This window comes from Homo sapiens, chromosome 12 (genome assembly GCF_000001405.40).
Source record: "Homo sapiens chromosome 12, GRCh38.p14 Primary Assembly".
In the NCBI taxonomy this organism is placed as follows: Eukaryota; Metazoa; Chordata; class Mammalia; order Primates; family Hominidae; genus Homo; species Homo sapiens.
In genome coordinates this window covers 114,926,307-114,940,617 of record NC_000012.12, presented here as the reverse complement: position 1 = coordinate 114,940,617, position 14,311 = coordinate 114,926,307, and the positions used below count along the sequence as shown (strand labels likewise).

General features: G+C 42.4%; 1 long non-coding RNA gene across 1 annotated transcript; it reads left to right on the top strand.

The window, feature by feature from the left end:
* The first annotated feature begins 7,035 nt into the window (after window positions 1–7,035).
* LOC124903079 (uncharacterized) lies at window positions 7,036–12,516 on the top strand. The gene is made up of 2 exons (XR_007063586.1): window positions 7,036–7,599; window positions 10,527–12,516. It is a non-coding gene; the product is annotated as an uncharacterized LOC124903079 (long non-coding RNA).
* Window positions 12,517–14,311: the final 1,795 nt, after the last annotated feature.

Sequence of the window (14,311 nt, the reverse complement as noted above, 5' to 3'; positions counted from 1 at the left end):
GGAGGTGGCAAAGAGACTCACCCTTCAGATAATACCAAAATGTATCACAAAGTGTGGAAAGGAAGTAGCCACAGAATCAGTAAGTTGTTATGTTACAGAGGAGGGTGGTAAACAAGGTCCCTCCTGGGTAGCCAGCCTCCAAGGTGAGTCTTGCCTTTTTGTACTCACACACTTTTATACTCCTCTCTTATGCTAAATAGGGATGACCTGCAAAACCAATAGGTTATTGTGGAAATGTCAGATTGTCACTTCCAAGGCTAGGTCGTAAAAGGCAATGCAGCTCCTCCTTGCTTTCTCTCTTGCATCATTTATTCTGAGGGAAGCAGCCAGTGGCCATGTTATGAAAATGCTCAAGCCACTCTGAGAGAGGCCCATTCAGTGAGGAACTGAGGACTTCTTCCAGCAGCCATGTGAGGGTGCCATCTTGGAAGCAGATTCTCCAGCCCCAGTTGAGCCTTCAGATGACTGCAGCCCTGGGTGACATCTTGACTGCAACCTAGACACTGAGCCAGATCCACCCAGCTAAGCTACTCCTGAATTTCTGACCCTTAGAAACTGAGATGATAAATGTTTGCTGTGTGAAGCCTCTAAGTTTGGGGGAATGTGTTATATAGCAATAGATAACTGATATACCATCACTTTTCTTTATTTGGGGAAGACACAGTTTACTCAAATTCAGTTATTAGCTGAAACTATATGAAATTGTCAATATGGACAATTTTTATGCCACAAAATGGCAATGTTGGCCAGGTGCAGTGGCTCATGCCTGTAATCCCAGCACTTTGGAAGGCCAAGGCGGGGAGATCACTTGAGATCAGGAGTTCGAGACCAGCCTGGCCAACACGGTGAAACCTCTCTACCAAAAATACAAAAGAAAAAAGAAAGAGAAAAAAAAGAAAATTAGCCAGGTGTGATGGTGCGCACCTGTAGTCCCAGCTACCTGGGAGGCTGAGGTGGGAGAATCACTTGAACCCAGGAGGTGGAGGTTGCAATGAGCTGAGATCATGTGACTGCACTCCAGCCTGAGCAAGACCCTATCTCAAAAAACAAAAACAAAAACAAAAACAAAATGGCAATGTTGTATGGATAACGTCTACATTGACCTAGGTAGGGGCTCAGGTTCTGGGTAAATACAGTTCTGCTAGTAGAGCTACATTCCAGGAAAGGCCCAAAAGTAGGGTCTTTAGTTGAAGCTGGCTGTGTTTCTGAAAGCTAGAGTCCTTGGAGAGCAAAATCCTCCCAGCTCACCCAGTTGCACATGTTCTCTACTTCCCAGGGAGTTCTTAAAGCAAGGAGGGAACCCCAAAGGCCCTTCTAACAACTCTCTTCTTCTTTCTTGATCTCACAGTGCTGCTTTTTAAAAGCCCTGCAGTTCATTGAAGCTGCAAGTCAAAAGGCATCCTGCAGCAGATAATTAGAGAGATTGGTTCATGGGCCCCGGACACAGCACTCCTGCAAAGCCTCAAAGAGTCCCTGGTGAACCATTTGCCGGCTTTAATTTCTCAGGGGCTGCTTCAGCAGGTGGCCACTAGCAGGTAGTCAATAGGGACCTTCTGGTCGAAGACTGGGGCCTCTTTGGAAAGGTCAAATCCAGAGGCCGGAGGGCATGGCTCAAGAGGTCACGGGGTCAGGATCCATCACTGTGACAGATGAATCTAAGCATGTCTCTCTCTGTTTCTGGAAGCAAGGCCAAGCCTCTTGAGACAGAAAGGTGGCAGGGGGAGGGTGTTGGGGGCTCACAAAGAAAGGCGAGTCTGGTGTCTGGCCGGCACCTCTCAACTGGTCTTCATTAGGCCGGCCTGACAACCCTCTCTTCTGCCGCCCTCTGTCCCGCACTGATGGGGTGCTGTCTCCAGACCTCTCAACTGTTCCTCATTAGGTGAAACAGTGCGCTTTTGTCTGCATGAAGCCTTCTTTGTTCTGCCAGCGTGGCCAAGCTAGAAAGCCAGAAACTGATACAAAACAATGCGACTCTATCCTGAGGGGACCCCCTCCCTCCTCGATCTTCCTCCCCCTGGCCGGACAAGGAAGGGCGACTTCTCCCTTGCGGTCATATCCCTGGATGTCTAGCTGAGGATGTGTTCACTGGAGCAGAAAAAACGTGTTAAACATAGACCAGTAGCTCCCAAACTTGACTGCATATTGGAATCACCAGGAGATCTTCAAGTCATGTGGACTCCTGGTCTCCAGCCCCAGGCATTCTGATTGGATTGGTCTGAGGAGCAACTTGAGTATTAAGATTGAGAAGACCTCTCCGTGTGACTCTAATGTGCAGCATAGTTTGGGAACTACTGGCAGAGATGGAGAACTTCTATCAAATGCCATGCCCACCTGCCCTCCTCCGCATACTTTAAAATCAGGGGATGGTACACCTTGCAGGGCATGGTGCATTCATCTGAACATTCATCTGCTGGGCAAGCAGGAAGGCTACACCTGCACATAACAGGTAAAGCTGGTCTTTACCAGCTCTGTCTGAGAAGGCAATGTGGACACAGCCCATTCAAATGCAGAGGGGTGTTTTCATCTTGGCTTTCAGCACCTTAAATTGTGCGCAGATATTTTAAGATCCCCTCCAGTCATGCACCTCTTCTTCCCACCTGATCCTTGCCACTGAGCTCTCTCCAGGCGGGGCGGAATCCACATCCTCAAAGATAGAACTGGTGACAGAAAAACTTGGCTAGAGACAGGTTGTCTTTCCAGCTCCCATTCCCAAAGCAATGTTGAAGGGGTTATTCATGCAAAAGCTATTGAATCCTGATGTGTCTCCATACCTGCTGCTTGTCTATAGGCAGAGTAGGAAGATGGGTTGCAATTTCAGGACAAAGAAAGGCTCTCTTTTCCTATTCCAGCAGGCCCTAAATTATTTCTCCTCCCAACATCTACTAGTAAAAGTCTCACCTCTTTGTCGCCCAGGCCTAAAATGGCAACATCACAGATTTACATAGTTTAAAGCCTCACAACACTGTTTTCGAAAGTGGATGTTAGGTAGCAATGCCAGATTTCAAAAGTAAAAACATAGGACTCCCAGTTAAATTTGAAATTCAGAGGAACAGCTAATAATTTTCTTTTCTTTATTGTTCACCTGACATTGAAATGTAACTGGGAGTTCTGTATTTTATCTGGCAATACTAAAGAACGGAAAAGGTTAAGAGCTATTTGTAGGCCAGCGTGAATTAATTCAGCTAGTTGGCTCTTTGCTTAGCTGATAATAGTGTTTGCTGGAATGAAGCTTCTAATGGGGACAAGGAGGTAGCATTTTTTTACTTTAGGATGCTGTCTGGAAGGATTCTAAGGCCACAGCAATAAATAGGGAAAAGAACGTGTTGATTAATTAACCATGTTTACGATCGGTCTGGGATGGCAAGTGAAGGCATGTAAGCCATACATGTACAGCGATAGGTCAGCATCCTAATGACATGTAATAAATTATATCACCGGGATATTTGAACTTGGAGTCATTTTATAGGAAGAAATGGACAAGCAGTGTTTATCAATGAAACTGTACAAGAAATGGAAAATTGGCTGAGTCTTGAAAAATAAGAAACTATTCACTACATAGAAACTATGCTTTTTCCTTCTTGGACTTGTTTCTTGCTCTTCCCCTGAAGCAGCTCTTCTTATGCCAGGCACTCAATAGGTGCTTGACACATAAGCACTGACTCAACACTTTGAATTAGAAGTCACAGAGGGAGACTAATGGAACAGATTTTGAGCACTACTCCCCTTTCTTCCATCAGGCATCTGATGAGTCATCTAAGGTCATGTGATAGCAAAACTGTTGGGCCTATAGAAAAAGTCTTTTAAGACATCCACGTCATTAAGTTTTCCTGCTCTTCCAGAGATCTGGAGTCAACGAGTCCTCACCCACACACCTCCATTCTCCTGCATTACTGAGAACCAAGGCTCCTTCCGGACTACAGGCATTGAACCAAAACGGAAGTGGAGAGCCACCCTTGAATGGGAATGCCCACCTTTGCGTACATTTCAGATGGCAGACGGAACCCATTCATCAAACTATGAAAATTCCCTCCACTCTCGAGGAAGAATGGCCATGAAGGGCTTGTAAATACATGTCTTCAGGTTTAAACAAATTGCATCATTATTTTTATTTTTTGAGAGGAGTCCATGTGAAGGGAACTAGAGGCATGCTTGGGTGTTTGTCCTGCAGACAATGCATGCCTGGGTCTTGTGCTGTTTCCGTATCTTCTGCCCAAGCGCTGGCCAGCCTCATGGCCTCTCAACAGGAGAAGGGTGCCAATTCCTAACATTCTATTTTCATACTGTTTGATGATAAAAATCGCCCCAGCAGGGCGAATGGCAGTGAACAAAAACAGGAAGCAGACCCCTGATTAGATAGGAACAGGGTGGCTTGTAGAGTAATAAACAAAATGACTAAGAAGATAAATGAGAGAACCATGGATGCTGCCATCTCCTTCCTGAACAGGCCAAGAATAAATGGAAAGAAGAAATCGGGAAAGAAGTCATGTCTTGGGCTCTAAGTGGGGGTGAAGGAGGCTTGCTCTGCAACATCACTTTGCAGGGGCCTTCCTTGAGTTGCCTCTTGAGTGAAGGCCATCAGGACAACTATCTGGTTTTCAGTGACTTCCTTTGAAAATCTTGCCTAAGTGATTTAGTACTCTGTTTTGATATTTGGAGATCCTTTGAAATCTGTGATCTTAGAGCTTTAGCCAAACCAAGGGTCCACTTTGTCATGTTGCTACTCTTGGACAGTGGTGCTCAGTTGGGGCAGGAGATGGTAATTTTGCCCTCTAGTGGGCATTTGACAATGTCTAGTGAGTTGCCACAACTGATGGATGGTGCTGTTGGCATCTAGTGGGTAGAGGCCAGAGATGCTGCTAAATATCCCGTAACGCCTAGGATAGCCCCTAGCAACAAAGAATTATCCAGCCCTAAGTGTCAATAGTAGCAAAGCTGAGAAACCCTGATGTAAGGCAAGTTAAGATATAAAAATAGGTATAAGTTTGGGTATGGACATAGGGTGGGTACGAATGTGGACATAGAAGTAAACATAGACATATATTGAACCCATTCTGCAATGAAATCTTACTTCTTTTTCTTAAAAAAAAAAAAAAAGACAACTTCACTTCTGATAAAAAATCTTCACAGGGATAAATCACCAGGAAAGTGAGACTTAGACATTCCCCTATAAAGACCCAGAAGCTCCAGGCCTGCTCTAAGCATGGGCCTCGTGATGAGAGCACATGTTCAAATTCTACCTATAACATTTACGTCCTGTGTGATCTTTGGCAAGTTTCTTATTCTCTCTGAGTCTTAGCTCCATACTTATGACGTTGACTTAATAACTTCTATTTCTTATAGCTCCAGGCCTGCTCTGACCAGGGCCTCACGATGAGAGCACATGTTCAAATTCCACCTATAACATTTACGTCCTGTGTGATCTTTGGCAACTTTCTTATTCTCTCTGAGTCTTAGCTCTATATTTATGATGTTGACTTAATAACTTCTATTTCTTATAGCTGTGATGATAATGAATAGGATTGCATGAATAATGGCCAATACATTGTCTGTACCCTAGTCAAATAGGAGACATTCAATGAATTGCATCTGCTATTGATCATATAATCATCAACATGCTTCGATTTTAATGTACATTCAGGTATTTCTCCTTAGTACTCGAAGGGCTCTTTGCAATTGGAAAACATGATTTAGGGTACCAGGATGCTGAGATGGGACTCTGTCTCAATTTCAGCTGATGCCTCAAGGAATTAAGAACCAATAGGTAAGTTCATCAAGTGGTTTCCTTGAAGTCTCATCATCAGGAGGGATTGTGACAAGCTGAGATGCAGCTAGAATGCACAGTCACTTTGGATAGAGGCCTGCATTTCCAGCGGTCAGGGAACTGCTAGAATGGGCTCTCCATGGCACAGATGTGGGCCAAGTGACCACGCGGGAGAGTCAGCCTGGAGCCTTCAGGTACTGTCTTGGGCAAAGTGTTGGAAATCCAGTTTCCACTTACAAGAGGCAATCAGCAGCTGCCTTCAGTTTGAGTCCTTGTTCCCTGCACAGCCCCCAGGTCTGGGCCACCCTTCACAGAACCACACTACTGGTGGGTTTGGGTGTGAGTGTGAGTGTGCACCTGTGTATGTAAGGAAGGGAGCTATAGAGAAAGCAAATCTTCCTGTGGCCTGGAAAGATCAGCTTTGTGCTGATTTCCTTCTTTTTTTTTTTTTTTTTTTTTTTTTTTTGAGACAGGTTCTAGCTCTGTCACCCAGGCTGGAGTGCAGTTTTGGAAGTGCCATCCAGGTAGCAGAAGCTTTAGCACCTTCCTTTGGAAGGTGGGAATATTTAGACTGGTTGCTTTCCAACCTTAGCCAAAATTCCATCAGAAAGTCCTGTTTAAATACATGTACACTACGATGAGCTAAGAATAGAATTCATATCATGATAAGAATACCATTTATTTTAATAGCTTAGAGTTTTAAATGACCCATCAAATGACAATATACAAATACGGGACAGACCTGACATCCAGCATGTGTGCCTCCCCGCCATTACTGCAGTGCAGGGTCAGATTGCTGCATAGACCTCATCATTGCAGGAGTCTCAGAAGATATTGTTCTCCTCAGTACTGTGTTTGCTGTAAGAAATGATGATAAACCTCTGTGGTATGTTCTACAGATGAATTCAGAGGTTTTAGAATGAAGAAAGAATTTACCTTGGACTAGTCTTAGTGCTGGACAGGGTCCTTGGCACAGAATTAGCCCTTGGTACACATTTATTGAATTAAATGAGCACCCAGGCTGTAGCCAGTTGAACGTGAGATGTGTGTCCTCCCTATTTAACAAAAAACGTGGGTCACACTAGCCAGTGTCTTACCCTAATCATGTGGAGTAAAACAGGGGTTAACTAGCTTCCAGAATTCCTGGATGAATCACTGCCCACAGCCCCCACTGTGTTCCTGGCCCCAGGCTGGTCCAGGGGAGGAAACCTGACCTATAGGAGATCATCTGCCTACTGGCCAGTCACGGATGTGTCATACAGGGCACTGTCCACTGAGACATGACTCAGACCATAAATTCTGTTCTCAGAATTTAGAATTGGGAAACCAAGCTGCCGGTTGGTGAGGGTCACCAGTAGCACCAGGTCAGGATGTGGGGAGTAATGAGACCATGGCCATTGCCACTATGAGGAATGACAGACTAGGTGAGAAAAGGAGGATACAGCAGACTCCACAAGGGAGAAAAAATGAGAAAGGCCACAGGGCCCCAGATAGGGGCAGAAATGGTGCCCTTTACTCCGTAATTCTCAATTCCAGCTTTCTCGAGGTGTCCTTCCTCTTCCTGCCTTTGGCCTCTGGGATTTATCCTATTATTAATAACCCTATTAATAATAATTATTATTATTAACATTATTCTGTCTTATTGAGGATAATCTTACAATGAAAATTCCTTTAGCTTGAACCTGTGTGAGTAGAAATATATTCCTCAAACCCCAAAGAGCCTTGACTAAAGTAGTGACCTATGTGAGCACCACGGGAAATGAAAATCACTCAACATTTAGTGAAGGAGGTTGTGATCATAAAAGCTGGCTGAGAGATCCACATGGGGCATCCTTAAGGTAAGTAAACTGGTGGATTAACCTGCTAAGTTGCATTTTCATAAAGAAAAAAGATTAGTCCATTTGATAAGATATGAGAGGCATGATAAAAAGGACTTCCGGGTATGCTGTTGAGGGATGGTGATATCTTTTTTTTTCTTTTTTTTTTTTTTTTTTGAGATGAAGTCTCACTCTGTCCCTAGGCTGGAGTGCAGTGGTATGATCTCGGCTCACAGCAACCTCCGCCTCCTGGGTTCAAGTGATTCTCCTGCCTCAGCCTCCCAAGTAGCTGGGACTACAGGCACGTGCCACCACGCCCGGCTAATTTTTGTATTTTTAGTAGAGACAGGGTTTCACCATGTTGGCCAGGATGGTCTCGATCTCTTGATGTCATGATCTGCCCACCTCGGCCTCCCAAAGTGCTGGGATTACAGGTGTCAGTTACTGTGCCCGGCCAAGGGATGATGATATCTTTAGACTGTGACACCCTTATGTTCTTCCCCAGGGGGAGCACAGTCCTGTGAGATGGTTAGGCTTCAGGTGCAAGGAATATTGATTCATTTCATTCCCCCAAAGAAATTCTGTAAAACTCACTGACTTCTCAGGGTCCACACAAGAGACCAAATAACTATTTCTGTCCTTCCATATAATGTAAATTCCTGAATGGCCACTACACAAAAGTCAAAAGGGAAAAGAATATTTGTTATAGAGGAAAATGATACCAACATGGAATGAGAAATAGTGCTAAAGATGGAAAGAAAGAGCCAGGGAGAGAGATAGCAGGACAGGGAGAGAGAGCAACTTTCTCTCAGAGTCTCTATAGTCCTGAAAACAGGTCCATCTTTCAACATCATAATTAGATGAGCCAATAAATTACTTTGTGTTTTTTTTTTTCTTTATTTGGGTTTCTGCCGCTTGCAACCACAATAGTCATGGCTAATAGAGTGCAGGTAATGTAAGAACCCAGTGACATATTGTAAACTATGTTCTTACTAAGATTACAATATGGGTCTCCAAATGACACCAATCCCTCTGCCACCAGCCCTGTCACATTCTGATTCACCGTAAAATAAGAAAGAGTGTAAGATAATTTTTTTTTTGAGACAGAGTCTTACTCTGTCACCCATGCTGGAGTCCAGTGGTTCAATCTCGGCTCACTGCAACCTCCACCTCCCAGGTTCAAGTGATTCTCCTGCCTCAGCCTCCCAAGTAGCTGGGATTACAGGCGCCCGCCACCACACCTGGCTAATTTTTGTATTTTTAGTAGAGACAGGGTTTCACCATGTTGGCAAGGCTGGTCTCAAACTCCTGACCTCAGGTGATCCATCCACCTCAGCCTGCCAAATTGCTGGGATTACAGGCATAAGCCATCATGCCTAGTGTAAGATACTTTTAATGGAACTTTCCTAAAGGGAGTTAAGTGGAAAAATGGACCCATGATCACAATAATTAGTAAAAGATGGAGTTAAAGAAAATTATTCTTACACTGAAAACTATAAAACATTGATGACAAAAATTAAAGTAGACACATAAAAATGGGAAGATACCCTATGTTCATAGATTGGAAGAATTAATATTGTTAAAATGTCCTTATTAACCAAAGCAATTAACAGACTCAATGCAACCTCTACCAAAATTCCAAAGACATTTTTTACAGAAATAGAAAAACAACCCTAAAATTCATATGGAACCACAAAAGACTCTGAATATAAACAAAGCAATTGTGAGAAGAAAAAAAAAAAGCTGAAAGCGTCACATTACTTGACTTTAAATATAATACAAAGCTATAGTAATCAAAACAGTATGGCACTGACATAAAAACAGACACATAGACCAATAGAACAGAACATAGAGCTCAGAAATAAACCCATGCATTTGCAGCAAATTTTCAACAAGGACACCAAGAATACGCAATGGAGAAAGAATAGTATCTTCAATAAATGGTGTTGGGAAACTGGATATCCATATGCAGAAGAAAGAAATTGGACTCTTAGCTCATACACAAAAATGAGCTCAAAATGGATTAAAGACTTAATGTAAAGCCTAAAACTGTAAAACTCCTAGAGAGAAAAACGTAGGGAAAGAGCTCCTTGATGTTTCCCTTCTCCTGGCAATTATTTTTTGGAATATGACACCAAAAGCACAGGCAACAAAACCAAAAATAGACAACTAAGCCTATATCAAACTAAAATGCTTCTGCACAGAAAAAAATCAATAAAATGAAAAGGCAACATAAAGAATGAGTGGAAGAAAATATTTGCAAACCATATATCTAGTAAGGGATTGATGAACAAAATATACAAGAAAGTCATATGACTCGATAGAAAAAAAAAACCCACAAATGGCATGTTTTTTTTTGTTTGTTTGTTTGTTTTTTTTGAGACGGAGTCTTGCTCTTTCACCCAGGCTGGACTGCAGTGGTGCTATCTCGGCTCACTGCAAGCTCCACCTCCCGGGTTCACGCCATTCTCCTGCCTCAGCCTCCCAAGTAGCTGAGACTACAGGAGCCCGCCACCGCGCCTGGCTAATTTTTTTTGTATTTTTAGTAGAGATGGGGTTTCACCATGTTAGCCAGGATGGTCTCGATCTCCTGACCTCGTGATCCACCCGCCTTAGACTCCCAAAGTGCTGGGATTACAGGCGTGAACCACCGCGCCCGGCCAACATGATTTTTTAAATGGGCAAAGGAGCTGATTAGATATTTGTTCAAAGAAGATATAAAAATGGCCAAGAGGTGTATGAAAAGATGTTCAACGTCACTAATCAGTCAAGGAAATGCAAATCAAAGCCACAATGAGATACCACCTCACACCTGATAGGATGGCTAGTGTAAGAAAGAAAGAGAGAGAGAAAGAGAGAGGAAGGAAGGGAGGGAGGGAGGGAGGGAGGGGATTTCTGCCATTTTGTTACTGTATTTCAGCAGCTATGCTCTCCTGACCACCCTGCAGGTCTCCAGTTGAGTTCAGCATCCCTGAAGCTATGCTTCCATAGTGCTCCAGTGCTCTGTGCATTTCCAAGGGTGGCAAAGATGAATAAATCTCTGCTATAATTCCAGAACCTTCTATGTGTTTCCAAAAGCAAAAGAAATGAATACATTTCTGGTGTTGGTGTTGTTTGAGGATGTGGCTAAGGACTTCACTTGGGAGGAGTGACCAGATCTGGATGATGCTTAGCAGACCCTGTACAGAGACATGATGCTGGAGACCTACAGCAGCTTGGTATCCTTGGGACACTGCATTACCAAACCTGAGATTATCTTCTGGAGCAAGGATCAGAGCCATGGACAAAAGGGCCCAAAACACAGCCTCCCAGCCATGTGAAGGTGCCTGCTACCACTTTGCCTTGTGCCATAAGTCAGAGTTCCCTGAGACCTCCCCAGAATCAGATGGTGCCATGCTTCCTGTACAGCCCAGACAATCGTGAGCCAGTTAAACCTATTTTCTTTATAAATTAAAAAGAAAAGAAAACAAGTGTAAGCAAGGATATGAAGAAGAGAACCCTTGTACACTGTTGGTGAAAATGAAAATCAGTGCAACCACTATGGAAAATAGTATGGAGGCACCTCAAAAAATTTAAATCAGAAATACCATACGATCCAGCAATCCTACTTCTGGATATATATTCAAAGGAGTTGAAATCAGGGTCTTGAAGAGAGATCTGCACTTTTACATTTATTGCAGCATTATTCACAATAGGCAAGATATGGAATCAACTTCAGTGTCCATCAATGAATAAATGGACAACGAAATTGTGATATTAAAAAAAGTATATACTTATGGTATATGATACAATGTTTTGATATATGTATACCTTGTAGAAAGTCTAAATCAAGCTAACTAACAATGAATTACCTTGTTTTTATCAATTTAAAAGTAATTTTTTTTTTTTGACACAGAGTCTTGTTCTGTCACCCAGGCTGGAAAGCGGTGATCTCGGCTCACTGCAATCTCTGCTTCCCGGGTTCAATCGATTCCTATGCCTCAGCTTCCCGAGTAGCTGGGATTACAGACATGCACAACCACACCTGGCTAATTTTTGTATTTTTAGTAAAGATGGGGTTTCACCCTATCTCTCAGGCTTGTCTCGAACTCCTGGCCTCATGTGATCGGCCCACCTCAGCCTGCCAAAGTGCTGGGATTACAGGCATAAGCCACTGCACCCAGCCAGTTTTTTTTTAAAAGTAAAGATAATTATATATATGTGTGTATACACACACACACATACATATATATATATACACACATGCACACACACAATGGAATGTCAGCCTTTAAAAAGAAGGAAATCCCGCCATTTGCAGCAACATTGATTAAACTGAAGGTCATTATGCTAAGTGAAATAAGCCAGAAACAGAAGGACAAATACTGCGTGATCTCACTTATATGTAAAATTTAAAGTAGTCAAATTCATAGAAGTAGATTATAGAACGGCAGTTGTCAGGGGCTGGAAGGAGGTTGAAAATGGGAAGGTGAAAATTTTAGTTGTGCAAAATAAGTAAGTTCTAGAGATCTACTATAGAGCATAGTGCTGACAGCTAACAATACTGTATTGTATACTTAAAATTTGCTAAGAGGGTAGATATTATGTTAAGTGTTCTTGGTACCAAAATAATCATCATGATTATCATCATAATGGGGGCAAGAGAAAACTTTGGAAGGTTACATGTATGTCTACGGCCATGATAGGTGATGGCATCATAATGTATAGTTTTTTCCCAAACTCACTGAGATGTATACATTAAATATGTACAGTCTTTTATATGTCAATCATCCCATAATAAGTGGGTTCAAAAATGAAAGAAAATAATTCTAGTTTCTTTATTATTATCAGACTTTTAGAGCCTTTGGATTCTTAATTATATAATAGGACTCTCTCAAGGAAAAAAATAATATTCAAATATTCAAGGAGCCAATTAAAAAAAAGCTTTGGAGATGTTGATCAAGGGCTTATTTCTGAGCTAGTTTAATTACCTTTCATATTCTGTTTAGGACAAACTACGTTGTACCCTATGCTGACATGCATGAAAAAGAAGAGACACGCTAATGGGAGAGGGAGAGCGTAGGACATTAGGGTGGAGGTAGATATACTTCTCCCCTTTTCTTTTCATTTACTTCCAGCCTAACAGTCAAGTGATCTGCCATGTCCCAGGCACTGAATGATGTGTTAGTGACACAGAGATAAACAAGACAAAATTCTTGTGTCCAGAAAATTCTAGTCACAGAGAAAGAAAAGTAATGATACCTCAATACATGGTGGACCCCCTTAAAAGGAGAAAAGAAAGCTTCCTGGCAAAGAAGATGCCCAGGGTATCAGGAAAGGGGTAGACGGCATTTTGAATTTATGTAAAAAGTAAGCAAGCCCACCCCAAAGCTCTTCTAATTTTAAAATTGACAAGTCATACCATCTGCACGACCCTTTCCAAATGTATCTGCTGCTGCCCCTCTGTTGGCCTTCCCAAAGCCACATGGTTAACTTTTGCTACAGAACAGAGATCAGCAGAAATAATTGACATAGATTAAGCTACAGGCAGGTTGTATAGATCATGGGCCCAGATCTAATTCCTGCCTGGTCCACTCAATTACACAGGAGCTTCTTACTGGAGAAGCAGGTGTAGTTACTGTAAATAAGTTCGATTTTGGGCATGGATGTCATTGGGTAACTGCATTTGCCATGCTTGGGTGATACATAAGGTAGCCATCAACGGCATGATTGTGGAACTCACAAAGATATAGCCAGCCTTTCCTGACAGTCTGGTATCTTCAAGGCAGGCTAGGATAGGAGATAGAAAATGCACTGATAGACTATCAGGAGGCTGGAGTGCTAGTCCTGGCTCTGTCTTTGATTCATTGTGTAACCTTGACTTAAATCCTTTCCCTTTGCCAGGTCCATTTTCCTTTCTATAAAATAAAAAATTAGATTAAAATGCCAAGATAGACAAAGAGGGCAGAACAGTGGTAGATATATCAAGAATTGAGTTAAATAGAAGTGAGTTTAAATCCTGACTCTACTTATGTAACCACCCTAGGTCTCAGTTTTATCATCTACACAATAGGAATCACAATTGTTCCTACTCTTCTATGATAACTTAAGATAATGTCTATTACAGGCCTGGCACATAGTAGTCACTCAGTAAGTATTCATTATTAGCATGGCCATTAGTATTAAGATTCTGAGGTCATTTATTTATTCGACAAGGTTATTTAAATACCCTTTATATCTTAGGTACTGCACTAATTTTTAAAGTATGTTACTTATCTATTGCTGTATAACGAATTACTTGAAAACTTAGTAGCTTAAAATACAAGCAAATATTTATTATCTCATAGTTTCTATGCGTCAAAACTTAGCTGGAACCTGGTCCGGGCTTAACTGGGTTCCCTGCTTCAAGGTCTTTCATAAGACTGTAATCAAAGTATTGGCTGGGACTGCAGCCTTATCTGAAGGCTCAACCGGAAATAAGTATTCCTTACAGGTTGTAGAACAAAGGGCCTTGGGTCTTTGTTAGCTTGCGTCGTTCGTTGCCATGTGAGCCTCTCCTTAGGGCAGCTCACCAAGTGGCAGCTGGCTTCCCCCAGAGACAGTGAGCAAGAGAACCAGAGAAGGCACACAAGACAGAAGTCACTATCTTTTTGTAACCTAACCTTGAAAGTGATATTCCATATTTTTTTTGTATTTTATGCATTAGAGTGAGTCAATAAGTCCATTCTTCACTCAAGGGGAGGGAATTGCACAA